This window comes from Homo sapiens, chromosome 4 (assembly GCF_000001405.40).
Source record: "Homo sapiens chromosome 4, GRCh38.p14 Primary Assembly".
In the NCBI taxonomy this organism is placed as follows: domain Eukaryota; kingdom Metazoa; phylum Chordata; class Mammalia; order Primates; family Hominidae; genus Homo; species Homo sapiens.
In genome coordinates, this window is record NC_000004.12 from 85,988,195 (window position 1) to 86,006,689 (window position 18,495).

Here is an 18,495-nt window from a genome sequence, read left to right on the forward strand (position 1 = left end):
AAGGAATATGAGTCCAGATAGACACATGTGCACACAGATGAATGAAGTGAAGAGCACTACACAGCAATAATATGTGGATTAATATAAAATAATATTTTTTCTTATTATTAATCTCATTAAAAGATAACCTGTTGTATAAAGCAAAAATAAGATAATGTAACATGGCATACATAATACATACAGAAATGAAATGTATGACAACGACAGAATAAAAGACAGAAAATGGAAGCAAACATGAAAGCAGACTACTTTAAGACTTTTAATTTGTATGCAAAGTGTTGCAATATTATTTAAAAGTAGACCGTAATAAATTAAATATGAATGTTATAAACATAGAACAACTACTAAAAAATAAACTGAGGTATTAGGTAATAAGCCAACAATAAAGATAAAATGGAATGTTATATAATAATAAACTTTTTTTAAAAAAAAGGACATAAAAAAATAAAAGAGGAGCAATTATCAGATGCAACAAGTAGAAAAAAATACCATGATGACAGAATTAAACTCAACCATATCAGTAATTGCATTAAATCTTAATGCCTTATATATTCCAGTCTAAAGGCAGAGATAAAATAAATAAAAATTCAACACTCAACTCTATACTGTATACACATCATTTAAAATATAAAGATACAGGTATGTTTAAAAACTAAATGAAAGGAAAAAGTTCTACCAAGTTTGTGTGATACAACTAAAGTAGTGCTTAGAGGAAAATTCATATAATTATGGACTTATATCAGAAAGAATAAAGACCTAAATTTAATTATCTAAGTTTCCTTTTCAGAGAGCTGCAAAAATAAGAGGTAATTTAAACCAAAGGAAACAGAGGCAAGGAGTAATGAAGATAAGAACAAAAATCAAGAAAATAGAGAGAGAACAAAAACAATCTAGAAAACCAGTGAAACCAAGAGCTGGTTTGTTAAAAAGATCAATAAAATTGATAAAACTCATCGTACTGATCAGAAAAGAAAAAACAATGTTACATTACCTATATCAGGTTTAACAGAAGTGACCTACCAAAGGTCTTACAGATGTTAAAATAATCATAAGGGACTATTATGAACAACTTTTTGCCAAGAAATTGGGCAATGGAGATGAAATGTTCAAGTTCCTTAAAAGATACAAACCAAAGCTCCCTCAAGATTAGAAAGAAAGAAAGAAACTGAGACTAGTAAAGCAATTGAATTCGTAGCTAAAAACATTCCCACAAAAACAAAAACACCTCTAACTTAAATTTACTGGTGAATTCTAACAAACATGTAAAGAAGAAATTATATTAATTGTGCACAGACTCTTTCAGAAAAAAAGAAGTAGAGGGAATTCTTGCCAACTAATTTTATGAGGGCAGTGTTGCTCTAATATCAAAACAGATAAAGACATTATAAGAAAAGAGAAATACAGAATAATATCCCTCATGAATATAGACATATAAATCCTAAACAAAACCTTACTGGATTGACTTCACCATATAAAAAGGATAATAAATCAGGACCAGTGGGGTTTATCCCAGGAAGACAGGTTGGTTAGCCAAAATCAATCAATGTAATTCACTGTATTAATACACCACTTTAAGATACAAAAAAATCATCGCGGATGCAGATAAAAAAATTGAAAGTTTCTCAAATTAACAAAGGTTATCTCTGAAAAATTTAGTTAAAATACTATTGTTAATGGTAAAAGACCAAATGCTTTGCCTCTAAGATCGGGTTTAAGGTAAGTTTACCTTATCCCACCATTTCCATTGTACTGGAAATCCTAGCCAGTAATAATAAATAAAAGGTATAAAATTGGAAAGGAATATGTAAAACTCTCTTTATTCACAGTCAACATGAACATCTATGTCGAAAATTCTTTGTAATCGACAAATAAAACTAATATAACTAATACGCAAATATATAAAGATCACATAAAGCACAGTCAATTTATAAAACTTTATTGTATTTCTACATACTACATTGGACAATTAGAATTGAAATAAAATTATTGTTTAGAACAACACTCATAAATTTAAAATATTTAGGGAGAAATTTAAGAAAGCATGTATAAGACACACTCTGAAAACTACTAAACACTAACAAACAAATAAGAACTACATAAATGTGGAAATATACCCTGCTCATGTATTAGAATACTCAATATTATTAAGCTATTAATTTTTCTAAAATTGACCTATAGTTTTAATATAATTGTCACAAAAATATTCCATCAGAATTTTTATTTGTAGAGATTGACAATCTGATTATAAGTTTTACAGGGAAATAAAAGCTATCTAGAATAGCACAAATAATTTGAAAGGAAATAACAGTTGAATATATACAACTTGATTTCAAGACTTAGTATAAAGTCACACATAATTAAAAGTGTGCTATTGATATAAAGATGGACACACAGATCAATGAAATAGAACAGATAGTCCAGAAATATGTGTAGTCATTTGATTTTTGACCAATGTACCACGGTATTTCAATGGAAAGGGGAAGGTCATTTCCCCAAATGATGCTGGAACAATTTCATAGCCCTAAAAAATATAAATAAATTACCTCAATCCTTGCCTCACATCACATACAAAAAACTTAAAATGGATCACAGACCTAAATGTAGGAGTTAAAAGTATAAGATATATAGAAGAAAATAATTTTAAAGAAATCTTATGACGTTGTGCTAGTGAAGACTCAGGACACAAAAGGCTCTAACTATAAAAATATTTTTTTAAAAAATTATTTGATAAGTTGGACTTTGTCAAAATTGACACTTTTCAAAAAGTCAAGCCTTTTTGGAAATGGAGACTACATTTGCAAATCACTATCTGATAAATAACTTGTTTTAAGAATATGTAAAGAACTCATGCAAAACAAGGCAGTCAACTCAATGAAAAAGTGGCGAAAGATTTGAAATATACACATCATCAAAGAAGATACACAAATAGCAAATAATACATGGAAGGATGCTCAGCATCTTTAGTCATTAGAAAAACTAAAATGTAAACCATAATGAGATGTCTCTACACATTTCTTACAAAGTGTAAAGTTAAGACTGAAAATATACCAAGTTTGGCTGCTAGAAATACAAAATGTTAGGGCCAATTCACAAAAGAATTAGGTAGGTTCTTACTAACTTAAATATGCAGTAACCGTAAAACCCAGCAGAACCATGTGCTAAACATTTACCCAAGGAAAAAGAAAACATATGTTCACCCAAGGCTTGCAGCCACATGTTCATATCAACACTATTCATATTAGCCCCAAACTGGAAACAGACCAATTCTCCATCAGCTAGTGAATAGATAAACTGTGGCACATCTACAGCAAGTAATACTATTTGACAATAAAAAGAACGAACTGCTACATGTAGCAACATAAATGTCAAAAGTGTTATGCTAAGTGGAAAATACCTAGACATGAAAGTCTACATACTGTATTATTCCATTTATATGAAATTGTAAAAAAAGGCAAAACTATAGAGACAGAAAGCACATCAAGGATGCTATGGGCCAGAGTTACGGGCAGGGAACTGACTCCAAAGAGGCATAAGTGTCACTTTTCTATATCATGATTAGGTGGTGTTTTCAGGAGTATACACATTTGTCAAAAATCATCAGGTGTCTTACAGATATGTTCAAACATGCAAAATGACACATGTACAAAGTTATTCATTGCAAAAAATACAAATTGAAACTATATTGCACAGAATGCTGTCATCTACATATATTTTTGCATTTACATATTATATTTAAAGTCCCTAGGTTTTTTTTAAAGAAAAATCAAATTTTTAGCCAATGCTTATGATGAAAAGTGCCTATTATGTGATATTTAGAGTCAACCTGTATAAAATTATATGGTTCAGGGAAGAATTGCTGGATCGTGTAGCACAGTGGAACTCCAGAATCTGCTTGGACTCTTCAGAATGGGCTGGTGATTATAACCAGTCTGACCTCATTATCTGGGCTTCATGTTCCTCATTGGCATTCTAAGAAGAAAATGACAGGGAATCAAAAGGAAAAACTGATAGTGTGTACAGTGGCACACACATCATCATTACTGCCGAGCTAGTCTGTCCTAAACAACTATAAAAATTCTAAGAAAGTCTCTTTACAAGGGGCTATGGCCATTTATTGTCCCAGAGACTAGATGGAATCAAAGCTTCCCAAGATACAAGAGAGTTTAAATCTCTAGGGACCTGACACTCATACTCCATAATTGTGACAAGTACACTTTGACATGGCTGTTCACAAACTCATCATGGAGACCTTAAGGATGTTGCTCTTCAATTAATTACATGCTCCCACACAGTTCATAGCTATGACGGGAAGCAGTGATACTTCAAATGTTAACATTCCAATGATAGGAAAAAGGTCCATTTTCCCAAAATACTAGACAGTCATATATAATGGAAACTGCAAACCTCCGAAAGTGTGTCTGCGTGTGGGCAAATAGTAAAATAGCATTGAATACACAATGTCTTCAAACACAGTACACAAGTTTGACAGTTATTCTAACTGCTCTAAAATTCTTTTTATCAGATTCACTGCTAACATGCATGGAAAATATGATGACAAATTCGGAGATTCCTAAAAGAGAAAAGAAGGCTATATAATACAATCAATTATTACATTGTCTTTTTTCACAATTCTGTAATAATTGATGGTAATTCAATAGATATTTATCTTTATCTAACTTTATCTTTAAAACTATCCCAAGTTTACTTATTACTGCTACGGTTTTAAATTGCAGCAGCTGAAATATAGTAGGACAAATGCATAATTTGGAATAAGACTAAATATTGCATTTCACCTTGATCACATCGTCTCTGTGCCCTGAGCAAATAGTTTAACTTCTCTAACCCTCAATTTTCTCATCTGAAAAAAAAAATGAATCCTCTCTTTCGGACTTTCAAGAAATTTAATTTGGAAGATATAAGGGAAACATTTGCATCTACTACAGTGTTTCTCAAAGTGTAATGCACCCAGGAATCACCTGGGGATTCTGATTCAGAAGCTCTGCATTGGGTGCTAAAATTTTCAGCTTCCAGGTGATGCCAGTGCTACTATTCTATTATTGCTGATGTTATCTGGAAGCTGGTTTATAATGCAAAATCTCATGTCCCACCCAATGCCTACTGAATTTCAATCTTCCTTTTAACAGGATCTCCAGGTAATTTTTATGAACTTTAAAATTTGAATAACATTGATGTAGCAGTAGATCTTGCTTATTGCTGATATGCAGTCGAAAATATTATAAGTTTTGAATCATCACAAGAAAAGTGTGTAGAATATAAATGAATATAATATGTTTTTTCCTCTTCAAAATCTGATTTTGAATTATATTTCCCAGGTGTCACCGGAAGCTAAAGAGTGGCCTTGCCTCAGGTCAGGTTTCTACTCCCTGACAGCCTCTCAATTAGCTGCTGTTGTAATGAAATTATGCATTGTCAAAAGCCTTTTTGCATCATTTTCTTCACCAAATCTCAAGTTTTAAGTATTTTATATAGAAACTACATAAAATCCAACCCTGCTCTGCCCATTCCAGTGGCTGCCAGATAGCTGGTTTTCTTTGTGATTTTGGGCTGTTGGTTTTCTAGGAGAGGAGGAGAAGATTAGAGCAAGTTAAAACGCCACAGACCTTGCTGCTCTTACTGAGATTCAGCCATTTTTCTTAAGTAAACACTCTCCAGATTGCATCAAGCCATTAGTTAATTTACAGAATTCCAAAATAGTTGATTCTGGAGATTTTTGCTAGTTGCTTATATGGTGAAGAGGATTTTTGGAGGTCTTCACTACACCATTCTGGCTGATGTCGCTTAAAATGCCCTGAAGTTTTTGAATGGTGAACAAAAGTCTTATGGATTTTCATTATCTTGATATATTAGAGAAACCATGCATCCACCTGATTGTATTGGGCTCCATTTACAGATGCCACTAAAATATCTTGATAGTTTGAGGCAATTATTAGATGAGAGGTCACAGTGACCTCCTCCTAAGAAATATTTCTCAGAATTAAATGTCAAATTTTTAATAAACATTGTATTATGATTAAGAGCCCAGGTTTTTAATGAACCCTGGGATCAAGCCCTGGGTCTGGTCCTTAACGTGTAACCTTAATCAAGTTACTTAACCTTTATAATACAGTGATAATAACAGTATGTATGTATAGATTTATTTCAAAATTCAATTAAATTACAAAAGCAAAGTGCTTGACACAGTTCATGGCACAAAGTAAATGCTCAAGATGTTTTAGCTTCTATTGCTATTATCATAGTTAAGAATATGGTTTGGTACTGATAATAATAATGAATGTTCTCTTGAATGTGTTTCTTTAAGAGTCACATTGAAATAGAAATAAATAAAAACTGTCTCACTCATGCTACTTTATGTTCTATGCAATTCTAGGCACTGTGGTGGTCCAGCAGTTGATGTCAGTGATGATTAGCAAACATGATTGCCTCTTTCCCAAAGATGCAGAACTACAAAGCAAGCCCCAAGATGGAGTGAGCAACAACAATGAAATTCAGAAGAAAGCCACCATGGGGCAGTTACAGAACAAGGAGAACAATAACACCAAGGACAGCCCTAGTAGGCAGTGCTCCTGGGACAAGTCTGAGTCACCCCAGAGAAGCAGCATGAACAATGGATCCCCCACAGCTCTATCAGGCAGCAAAACCAACAGCCCAAAGAACAGTGTTCACAAGCTAGATGTGTCTAGAAGCCCCCCTCTCATGGTCAAAAAGAACCCAGCCTTTAATAAGGGTAGTGGGATAGTTACCAATGGGTCCTTCAGCAGCAGTAATGCAGAAGGTCTTGAGAAAACCCAAACCACCCCCAATGGGAGCCTACAGGCCAGAAGGAGCTCTTCACTGAAGGTATCTGGTACCAAAATGGGCACGCACAGTGTACAGAATGGAACGGTGCGCATGGGCATTTTGAACAGCGACACACTCGGGAACCCCACAAATGTTCGAAACATGAGCTGGCTGCCAAATGGCTATGTGACCCTGAGGGATAACAAGCAGAAAGAACAAGCTGGAGAGTTAGGCCAGCACAACAGACTGTCCACCTATGATAATGTCCATCAACAGTTCTCCATGATGAACCTTGATGACAAGCAGAGCATTGACAGTGCTACCTGGTCCACTTCCTCCTGTGAAATCTCCCTCCCTGAGAACTCCAACTCCTGTCGCTCTTCTACCACCACCTGCCCAGAGCAAGACTTTTTTGGGGGGAACTTTGAGGACCCTGTTTTGGATGGGCCCCCGCAGGACGACCTTTCCCACCCCAGGGACTATGAAAGCAAAAGTGACCACAGGAGTGTGGGAGGTCGAAGTAGTCGTGCCACCAGTAGCAGTGACAACAGTGAGACATTTGTGGGCAACAGCAGCAGCAACCACAGTGCACTGCACAGTTTAGTTTCCAGCCTGAAACAGGAAATGACCAAACAGAAGATAGAGTATGAGTCCAGGATAAAGAGGTAAGGAAAATCTGGAGGTCGTAACTACCAGAGAGGGCTCAGTAGCCTCCTACTGTGGGACAGGATCACACTGAGGGTGACATATGCTGGCTCCAAAGTCAAAGAAACACAAGTTTGCTCCATCATTTATGAGCTTTGTGACTGTGTGCAAGTTAGCTTCATCTCTGTGAGCTTTGATTCCCTAATGTAAACAATTTAAATACTAGTAGTATCTACCTCAAAAGCACATAAGAAGTGATTGAACATTTCCCTGGTACAGAATAGGCTCAATAATGTCATCTTTGATTATTATTAAATAGATAGATTTGCATTAGAGGGCTGGAAGGAGAGGGGCTGTGAGGAGATGGACAGAGCATTAGGAGCCTGTTAGTTTTCACTAACAAGAAAAGGATGAAACTAGGGTAAAAAAAGTAGAAGTAAATAGACCTCCATGTTTTATTCTTTCAATCATTGAATGTTGAGAGAGTGCCTTCTATCTGCCAGGCTCTGTTCCAGACGCTGAGGATTCAGATGAGCTGAGAGAGGCCATAAGAGCCAGGTGACATAGGGGATTGACAGGCTGATTTTCAGCCTTTGACTTTTACTCTGAGATAGAAATCCATGGAGGTTTTTGAGAAGAGGGGTGACGTGAAGTATGTTCACATGAATAAGGAAGACTGTAGCCTAAATGAGGAAAAAAGAATATGATTTATAAAGAAGCAATTATGCTAAAACCTAATTATATCAATGTGCATCTTCTCATAAAATGATCAAAGTAGGAGTAGCTCCTCTAGTGTTCTCAGTCCCAGTTTCAGGCTGTGTGATTTGGACAACCCTTCCTCCATGGTGTGCTAGGATCCTCAGTTGGTTGTTAAGTTGGCTTTAATTTACCTTAATATGTTTCCTATCCATTCATCAATTATCAGACAAAAAGATAACGTACTTTCAGAAGCTATGGCAAAATAAATATTAAAAAATACTACTTATAAATGAGATTGAAAAATTACTTCCTTGGAAAGTATTTTTTTGGTAAGTTTCACTGAGTGGAATTGTGGTTTGAATTTTTCTATATAATGGAGAGTGACAGGAGATTTAAAGAAAAATATAGGGTCATTATCTTAAAAGGTTACTCTTCTTTCTGAATGTAGTTTTTGGAACCACTATGTATTGGAATTCTGAATTACTGCCAATCCATGATGATAAATTAGCATTTCACACTGGGAAGCTTATATTTTGAGGCAAGGGGTCACACTTTAAATGTAGTAGAAAAAGAAAAAAGTTATCACTATGAATTTGCAGATGGATACATTCATTTCTGAGGATGTTGCTGATGCATATATGTTCTGAGATCTACGGTATATTTCAGAGATTTTGATAAACTGATAGAACTTCCCAATAGAGGTCATCTTAATGGGCCATTTCAGTGTCACATTCTTACCCTCATGACAGGCCAAGGGAGAGCTCTGCAGTAGGGTGGAGGGTGGGGGACCGCTCGTGGCCTAGCCATGAAATTATAGAAAGTTAACTGTTCTGGCTAAATTTTGATCATTTCTGTTTAGAGTTATTCATTTTTCTTTAAATTCCTTTATAACTTTACCCCACAAGCATTGAAGGTAGATGGATGGATAGATAGGTAGGTAGGTAAATAGGTAGGTAGGTAGGTAGGTAGATGATAGATAGATAGATAGATGATAGATAGATAGATAGAGAGATAGATAATAGATAGATGATAGATATAGATAGATAGATAGATAGATAGATAGATAGATAGATAGATAATATTTTACTTTGTTTAATTATCAATAAGATATATGTTTAAATCATTTATAACTTTACCCCACAAGTATTGAGGGTGGATGGATGGATAGGTAGGTAGGTAAATAGGTAGGGAGGTAGGTAGACAGATAGATAATATTTTACTTTAATTATCAGTCAGTGAGATATATGGTTTTTAGTTTTGAAACATATATTCTTTTTCCCTCTCCAAATTGGTTTCTAACTTTTTCTTTTCTTATTTTTTTTTATGTTTTATTTTTTGACAGAGTCTCACTCTGTTGCCCACGCTGGAGAGTGCAGTGATGCAATCTTGGCTCACTGCAACCTCTGCCTCCCAAGTTGAAGCGATTCTCCTGCCTCAGCCTCCTGAGTAGCTTGGATTACAGATGCATGCCATCATGACTGGATAATTTTTTTTTTTCTTGTGGAGACAGGGGTTTTACCATGTTGGCCAGGCAGCTCTTGAGCTCTTGACCTCAAATGATCCACCCACCTCGGCCTCCCAAAGTGCTGGGGTTACAGGCATAAGCCATGGCACTCAGCTAGTTTCTAACAATTTTCTTAGGAAATATTGTATTGTGGTCAGAGAAGTTCATCTGGATGATATTAATTATTTGGTCTATTAAAACTATTCCCTTATTACTGGATTGGGATTCTATATATGACCAAGAGATCAAGTCTGTTAATCAGGCTATTCAAAGCTTCTGTATTTCTTCTCATTTTTATCAGCTATATCAATAATTTTTGAGAAAGATACTTTAAAATTTCCTATCAGTATTCTGAGTTTATCAGTTTCTTTTTATAATTTTGTCATATTTTATATTGAACAATTTGAGGCTCTACTACTAGGTGAATAGAAGTTTGGAGTTGTTCATATCTCCCTGAAGAATTGATCCTTTTATCATTAATTAGTGCCTATTTTTCATTGTAATAATGCTTTTTACCTGAAACTCTATTTTTTCTGATATTAATATTGTCCTACCATCTTCCTTTGATTAGTAACTTCCTGATATGTCTTTTCCTTTATTTAACTTTCAAACTTTGTTTGATGATTTGATCTAACAACTTACATCTTTACAATTCTGGAATATTTTTTTCATCATCTTTTTGTCTATTTCATCTTCCCACCTTCTCAATTTTCTCTTTCCAGAACCCTTATTAAGCTATGTTTGACCTTGTTAATCTATCCTCTGTCTTTGTTAACTTCTTTTTTCCATATTAAATTTCTATAATTATCATTTTTGAGGCATTCTAGGTAACTTTTCTCAGACCTGTTTTGTAGCTTACTAATACTCTGATGAGCTAATTCAATTCTGATACTTCCCCAGGCCCATGATTGGAGATTTTGTAGTCTCTTCTTCATAAAAACAGTTAATGTTCCAAGCTCTCAGTTAAATTACTTGTAGTTTTCTGCCTGCCTAATACTGGAGGCCTCACCTTCTGTCCCCATGTGAAAAAGAAAAACCTAGACCCAAGCTCTGTGGCCTCTATCCAAGACTAATATCCTTCGTGTGCTTCTACTTATTGTTCTATATTTCGGTTTCTTCCTTGGTTCTGATGGCTGAAGCTGCTGTTTTATTTTAACCTTGATGATGTATTTTAAAAATATATTTCTTAAAACTTTTCCAGCACTTTTATATGTTTGCATTGGGAGGGATTTCTTCTGTATTCAACTTAGTCCTTTTCATTCCTGGAAGTTTCCCACAAGCACCTGATACATACAAATGTGTCAATATATTGTTTTGTAAGGGTTGTCCTTCTCAGTATTTTAATTTCAATTTCTTCCAAAATTTTGGCTCTAAAATAGCTTTGGAAAACAAAGAGAATATATTGTAGAATAATTCTGAGTGGAAACCAGCATAGTACCAACTTTTCATGTAAAAATGTGGTCATATGTTTAAAATAGCCTTCTAAATGATGTAGGATTACAAAATATGAAGTATTATTTTTTAAAATTCTAGTTGCTTACAAAGAGAAGGAAGATTAATTTTTAAGTGTTCTTATTATCTGGATGAAATATCAACATGTGGGGATCAAATTTTTCAAAGCAGAAACATAATTGAGATTTTAATTTAAAAACTGTTATTAAAATAATCAGATATCTGAGAGCTACACATGCATTAACCTTTCAAATTTCAGTGGTATGGTAAGTTTGAATGAGTCCCATGGGACTTTTGCTCAGAATAGGAGAAATTAAAAAGTCAGCCGAGGCCAAGATACATCTTAAATAAAGATGTAACTTTAATACCCCTCTTTTGAATAATATATGTATATGATTTGGATCTTAGTGGTTATGGAGAAAACAGTCTCTGTTTTTAAAAACGTTACTGCGAATTCTACAATTATCCAAAAGCTATACAAAACAACTATCAATTTATAGAGATATAAAATACCTATGCCCAGAGCTATATTAATAACTTGGGAAGCAGTGAGAATTGGGGATGGAAAGGAATGGGCTTTATTTTTACAAAATATGAGATGCAGTGCTTATTTAACACATGTGATCTTTACCTCTCGTATCAATGTAAGCTCATTACTTTGGGTACTCTTTTATAAGATGGGACTCTATATGCTGCCAAAAACCCCATTCTTAGCAGTGAACTTAACCAACAATGACATTTTCCTATCACTATTTTTCCTTTTATAGAAGGCAAATGTTATTGCCCTCTTTTTTTTTTTTTTTTGTTAACTATCAGACTTTCCTGCTGCATTTAGTGTAGTGAACTTTACAATTTAATGTCCAGGAAGCTTTCTGCCTCGTCTGCCCGGCATGTGTTACTGGCTTATCTGTGCTGGCATTCACTTATTTACTATTAAATGACAGCTGCTTCCAAGAGAGGCCTTGGGACCTAATGACTAAGGTGACAGTAAATCATCTTAGCAAACAGTAAAATAATACAACAAAATTACATCCTTTAAATCATTGAAAGGGCTTTATTCCAATTTCCTAAGCATCATAAAGAGTTTAGAAAATATTTGTATGTCTCTTGCATTTCAAGTGAATAAAATCACTTTATCTCTTACTCTTGCGTCCCCACCCCCCACCCCCCCCAACATCCTTTGTAGCTTAGAACAGCGAAACTTGACTTTGGAAACAGAAATGATGAGCCTCCATGATGAACTGGATCAGGAGAGGAAAAAGTTCACAATGATAGAAATAAAAATGCGAAATGCCGAGCGAGCAAAAGAAGATGCCGAGAAAAGAAATGACATGCTACAGAAAGAAATGGAGCAGTTTTTTTCCACGTTTGGAGAACTGACAGTGGAACCCAGGAGAACCGAGAGAGGAAACACAATATGGATTCAGTGAGCCTGCTTTCGCCTGCTGTCTCTGATGGCTCTGGCAAGGACTCCAGGGATTCTGGTGGGATATGACTTAGAACCAGGTGGCTGGTCACCTGGATGTACAGAAGTCTAACTGGTGAAGGAATATCATTTACAGACATTAAACATCCATATCTGCAATGTGTACCAAAGTTATATCATGCCCCATAATGCTACTGTCAAGTGTTACAACTGGATATGTGTATATAGAGTAGTTTTTCAAAAGTAAACTAAAAATGAGAAGCATATTTCAAGAATTATTTTATTGCAAGTCTTGTATTTAAATGTTAAATCAATATGTTGTTGCAATTTAGCTTGCTTTCAAGCTTCACCCCTTGCACTTAACATAAGCTATTTTTGGCATTGTGTTATCATCGGCTTATTTTATAGATCAATATTTTTATTTCCCTTTTTTGCTGAGGAAATGAAGATAAGCAAAAATATAAATATATATATAAATATATGAGTTATTAAAATCAGAAGAATACTTTGTGGCTGTGCTGTTTGTGCCAATAGACTTTGTCATGACCAAAAAGAGAAATGTAAATAGTTTTATAAAATACAGTCGAATCACCAGGAACCTTTGAGCTGCTTTTAAAATTCTTCCCCTGGCACCACTCAGTTTTGCTTTTGCGAGGCGATTTGACATAGGAACTTTGAGACTCCATGAGAAAGTCCCTTTCTGAGGCCCACTGTCTACCTTGCCAGATCCTCAGTGCGTATCGCCAATGCAGGATGCTCCTTAGAAAAGAAAAAATGGTAAAGAATGGCATTTAACGATTCAGGCTTTGAATTACTCTGTCCCTCTGGACCGAATCTCTTTAACTGCTGGATAGTTTTAGAGGAATTCTCCTGCTACTTAGGTACTGGGAAACAATGCTTGCTAAACCATGCCCACGTGAGCACCTGTCTCCCACTCAAACCTCTCCCATCTCCCAACAACTGCACTTTAGAATACCAGCAGTGAAATGGTATTACTGTTTCCCTCTGAGTGAAACTGCTAGAGTATATGTCACGTAGTGACATTTTTTTCTCACTCAGGCTATTGCCATCTGGGATTCTCTCCCTACTACAGCTGGCAAAGTTGGTTTGCAGCAAGAAGATAGTGGGAGGGGGCCAGGCTGCAGGAGAAGGAGAAAAGTTTAGAAGAAACAAACCATTTTGCTTCTAATTTTGACAGTATCACTTTCCTGTTAAAACATACAATAATTTTAAAAGGTGAATGCCTAAAGTTCCAATTTTAGCAAATATGGGAACCTCAGCAATGCTAATTTTCTAGAAAAACCCAGGGCTCTTTGGAGCTAGAGTTTTGGGAGAACAGTTCTTCACAATAAGGCAATGGTTTTGAGAGGCCAGGCAAATAATCTTTCTCACCGTAGAACAAAAAGTTACAAAAGGCATAATCGGAAATAGAGACTACATACTTGAGTTTATGGGGTTTGTGTTGTTTGAAGGTTCAATGCTTGCATGTGTTTATTTATTTTCAAGAGGGAAAGTGGTCTGTACTGCTTTCATCCTTGCCACTGTCTTGCTTTTATTTTTTACTCTCCCACTGAGCAAGCGTCTGTGGTCCTATGGTATCAACCAGTATCTTTATAGCAATAATTTCTTTAATTCCCTTTTCTCTCTCTTTCCAATTATTTAACCAGTTACTTCCACCTGGACATACGATAGGAAATTCAAACTCAAAATATGAAAATTGATCTTAATAACTCTCCCTTCATATCTTTTCACCTATTTCCAGTCCTTATCATAGTTGATAAAAACCTCAGACTCATCCAGAAAGCTATATGATGCACTAGTAAAAAAAACAAAGATATTCAAACTGCTTGGGTTCAAATGGTATACAATTTGCCAGCTGTTACTGAACCTTCTATGCATAACTTTTTTTTTCCTCTGTGCAATTGGAATAATAAAAATACTACTCCCATAGAGTTGTTATGTGGTCTTAATGAGATAGCTTGGGTTAGGCTGAGCACAGCTGCTAGTAGAATCCAAAAAGGGGCCAGGCATGGTCGCTCACGCCTGTAATCCCAGCACTTTGGGAGGCCGAGGCGGGCGGATCACGAGGTCAGGAGACTCAGACCATCCTGGCTAACACAGTGAAACCCTGTCTCTACTAAAAAAAAATATATATATATATATATACAAAAAATTAGCCGGGTGTGGTGGTGGGCGCCTGTAGTCCCAGCTACTCGGGAGGCTGAGGCAGGAGAATGGCGTGAACCCGGGAGGCAGAGTTTGCAGTGAGCCAAGATCAAGCCACTGCACTCCAGCAGCCTGGGCGACAGAGCGAGACTCCGTCTAAAAAAAAAAAAAAAAAAAAAAAAAGACTCCATAAATGTTAACGCATATTTTCTTTCTTTCTTTCTTTCTTTTTTTTTGTGGGGGGACAGTCTCACTGTCTCCTTCTGTCACCCAGTCTGGAGTGCAGTGGCATGATCACGGTTCACTGCAGCCTTGACCTCCCTAGGTTCAGGTGATCCTCCCACCTCAGCCTCCCGAGTAGCTGGGACTGCAGGCATACGCCACCATGCCCAGCTAATTTTTGTATTTTCTTTTGTAGAGACAGGGTTTCGCCATATTGCCCAGGCTGGTCTCAAACACCTGGGCTGAAGCTGTCTGCCCTCCTCAGCCTCCCAAAAGTTATGCAAGATGCATAGCAATGACGGGTCACTTAATTTGTCTGGGACTACAAGCGTGAGCCACCGCGCCCAGCCAACTCATATTTTTCTTCTCTACCCACTTCTTCACTCATAAATTTGCTCACCAGCTAATCTATTCCACTCATCTTTGCCTTTTTAATCTGCTCTCTTTAATCACTTTTCCCTTACCTTTTGATGAAGGCATCCTACCCAGCGCGTTTTGTTCCAGCATCTCTCCTGTACTTTTGTCCTTTGCAGGCTGCCTTTTCGAAATTATTCATCTGACCATAGCTTGATCTTGCTCATTACATATGATGACTGTCACTTGCCCAGGACAAAGCCCTTCACATAGTGTAAAAGGTCCTACTGCCAGTTTCATTCTTGTCTCCTACCACTTCCCACCACACCTGCCATGCCATTTCATACCTCTAGAACTTTCCACTTGCTATTGTTGTGTCCTTCTTGCTTGCCTTCTTTCTAGCTGGCATGCTCCAAACATCCTTTAAGAGCCAAATCAATGTCAGTTTCCTCATGAAGCTTCCCAGAATCTCAAATCAGTGTTAGTTGCTTTTTGTGCCCCCATTCGCATTATCTCTTTCTGTCTTTCCCACATCTGATTATTTTCTTTATCAAATAAGAAGCAATTTAGGAGGGAGAGTGATGAAGTGGAAATAGCAGAAAATTGAGAGCCATTCAAACCTAGATCTGCCTCTCAACATGCCTTATGCAAGATACATGGCAATGCCAGGTAACTTGACTTGTCTGATCTCATCTACAAGGTGGAGATAATAACTCCTACAAAGTAGGGATGTTGCCGTGGTTAATGGTGGTATGTAATGTGCTTATCCCGGTGCCTGTCACTTTGCTCCACTGATAACTCTATTGATAAATGGAGCTTCTTAAGGGGCCAAGATTGTATCTTCTTGCTGTTAAATCCCTCCATGCCTTATGCCAAAGAGAATGTCAGCACAGTGAGTTTGCAGTAATTTTTGGGAATGCAAATATACTCAAACACACACACACACACAGGGTGTTTTGTGGCCTGTGATATTTGAGGGATGATATTATCAATTTTAATTGTCAATTTCAGTGATGATGGCACTAATCAATGGATACCATGAGCAGCATGTTCATCTGGGTTTCCGTTAGTCAAATAAAAAGCCTAGACAATATTAAGTACAATTAACATAAGAATAAATTGGAAATCAATAAGGATACAAAGTAGTTAGGTAGTATCAAGATTTCATTTGCTACATCCTGTATATGCCTCTTTAAAACTATTTAGGTAATTAAAATGAATCTTAAGTTATAAACTCGAGAAAGGATTTGCTTTCAGATGTGGGGCCTACTGTGTTAGCCTCACTATTCAAACTAGATGTCTGGGTATCCTTTGGAGAACATTTAAGGTAGAATTGCCTATGATGTCAGCTCTACTGAAACATGATTTTATTATATGTAACATTATGAAATGACTAAAATCTCCAGGTGGAGTTTAAGTAATCATTCCCATTGATTCTCAAGCTGGGATATTCTTCAAAAAATCATTCCCAGGCTGGGTAGTTTATATTATTGATATAATTATGACACCTTGAAAATTCAGGAGAGCATTAAATAATGTAATGCTTGCCGCAAACCCCAGTGTTCCTTACACTGCAGAGCTGCACTCTGATTAGAGTACCATACGCATGAGTTTTGGAATCTACGACCAGGGTTCAAACCCAGCTCTGCCACCTCATAGCTTTATGAACCTAAATTATGTAATATATATAAGCCTAAATTTGTTTTTTTCTGGAAGTAGAGTTAATAGTTCCTCCCTTATCATATTTTTATGAGGAATGTAGTACAATAGGTGAAGGGATTAACATAGTGCCTGGAACATAGTAAGTGCTCACTAAATGGAAACTATCAGCCCTCAAATTATTTCTGTTGAAAGAGTGTTTCAGCTTCTAAGGAACGTAGCAAGGTTCTGGACTCAGGGATATGACCAGCATTAAAAGTATCATGATCACCAGCACAGGATATAATTATATCTTGGTCTCAGAGACTCTTAAGTTTATCCGTGCCCAGATAATCTGCCAGGGATTGATGGCAAGGAAAGTAACCCAAACCACTCTTTCTTTCTGAGATAATACAATTACATCCATGATCTGAAAATCATGTCTAAACAACTACGTGTAACTGTCCTTCATCAACTCTATCCATGTCTACACTAAAGATGATGTTGGGTGTTAAAGGTATTGGATAAAATACAATGAATGTTTCTGAGGGCTATCATGAATAAACTGAGGGCTGTGGACTAGGTCCTCTGGGGTACATAAACTTACAGTTATTGCCATGTTATATGATGTGCTGTGGAAGTAACTAAAGAGACCATAAAGGTGAAGCTCAGGAGAGCACTGCAGAGCCGTGACTTTGGTGTGAGTCCTAAAGACCAGTAGGAAGTCATCAGACAGAGCTGCAGTTTTGGTAAGGGGCCTTCCTAGCCCATGGAACAGCATGGCAAATGTGCCTTCAGGGTAGACCCTAGGGAGTCTTTTCAATAAAATAAACATGACCTACCAAGTTCATGCCATCAAGATGGCATTGTGCCTAACACCTTAGCAGCACGTCATGAGACCTGAAAACACACTTAGTACCCACGCGGCTTCTACTCTCTTATTCAGAGAAAGCATCCAGAGCTGGAAACATTTTGCCTTGTTTGAACTCACAAACTACAGGAAAGGAGTGCTGGAACTGTGGCTCCCAAAGGTCTGTTTCATTATTCTCTTTATAGTCTTCTTAACTGCACAAGTGGGGAATGAGTTGAAAGTTAGAACTGCCCAGCTTAAGGGCCTCTTGCTCTGAAGTGACTTGGAGAACTAACAGTTCCCCAGGCAGCTAAAATCTACTGAACCTACTGTAGATCTTTCAGTAAAAAGTTTAGCTGATGAAAAGTGTGGTTTTTAAAGCACCATTTGTGGCTCAGGTCCAGGTTTGAATGATACTCCTTATTTATGAACTTCTGTATAGCTGCTGTCTGTATGGCCTCTTGAAGGATAAGCCACAGTGAGGCCAGCCTTTTCTTAAATAGGGAATGAGGGCAACAGGAGAACAGTGAATTGTTAGGGGGCAAACCAAATTGGCATCATTTTCTTTGAGCAAAACTGTCTCTTACTTCTGGGGGAGGCCCCGAGCATCCCACCTGTTCTTGCGAATAGAGGATGTCCATCCCAACTCTCTCTTCTCCACACACCCATTCCCTGTTCCCTACCCCCTCATGATTCACTAGATTAATTATGCACCACACTGAAGTGATCCCCAGGGTCATG

General features: G+C 36.7%; 1 protein-coding gene across 8 annotated transcripts in view; it reads left to right on the forward strand.

Annotated features, from left to right (window-relative positions):
* Positions 1-14,472, forward strand: part of ARHGAP24 (Rho GTPase activating protein 24) — a 527,517-nt gene extending 513,045 nt beyond the window's left edge. For all 8 annotated transcript variants that reach the window (NM_001025616.3, XM_024454238.2, XM_047416235.1 and 5 more), the window contains 2 exons: positions 6,389-7,463; positions 12,285-14,472. In NM_001025616.3, the coding sequence (NP_001020787.2) occupies positions 6,389-7,463; positions 12,285-12,528 (1,319 nt within the window). In that variant the 3' untranslated portion in view covers positions 12,529-14,472. The remainder of the gene's footprint in view (positions 1-6,388; positions 7,464-12,284) is intronic.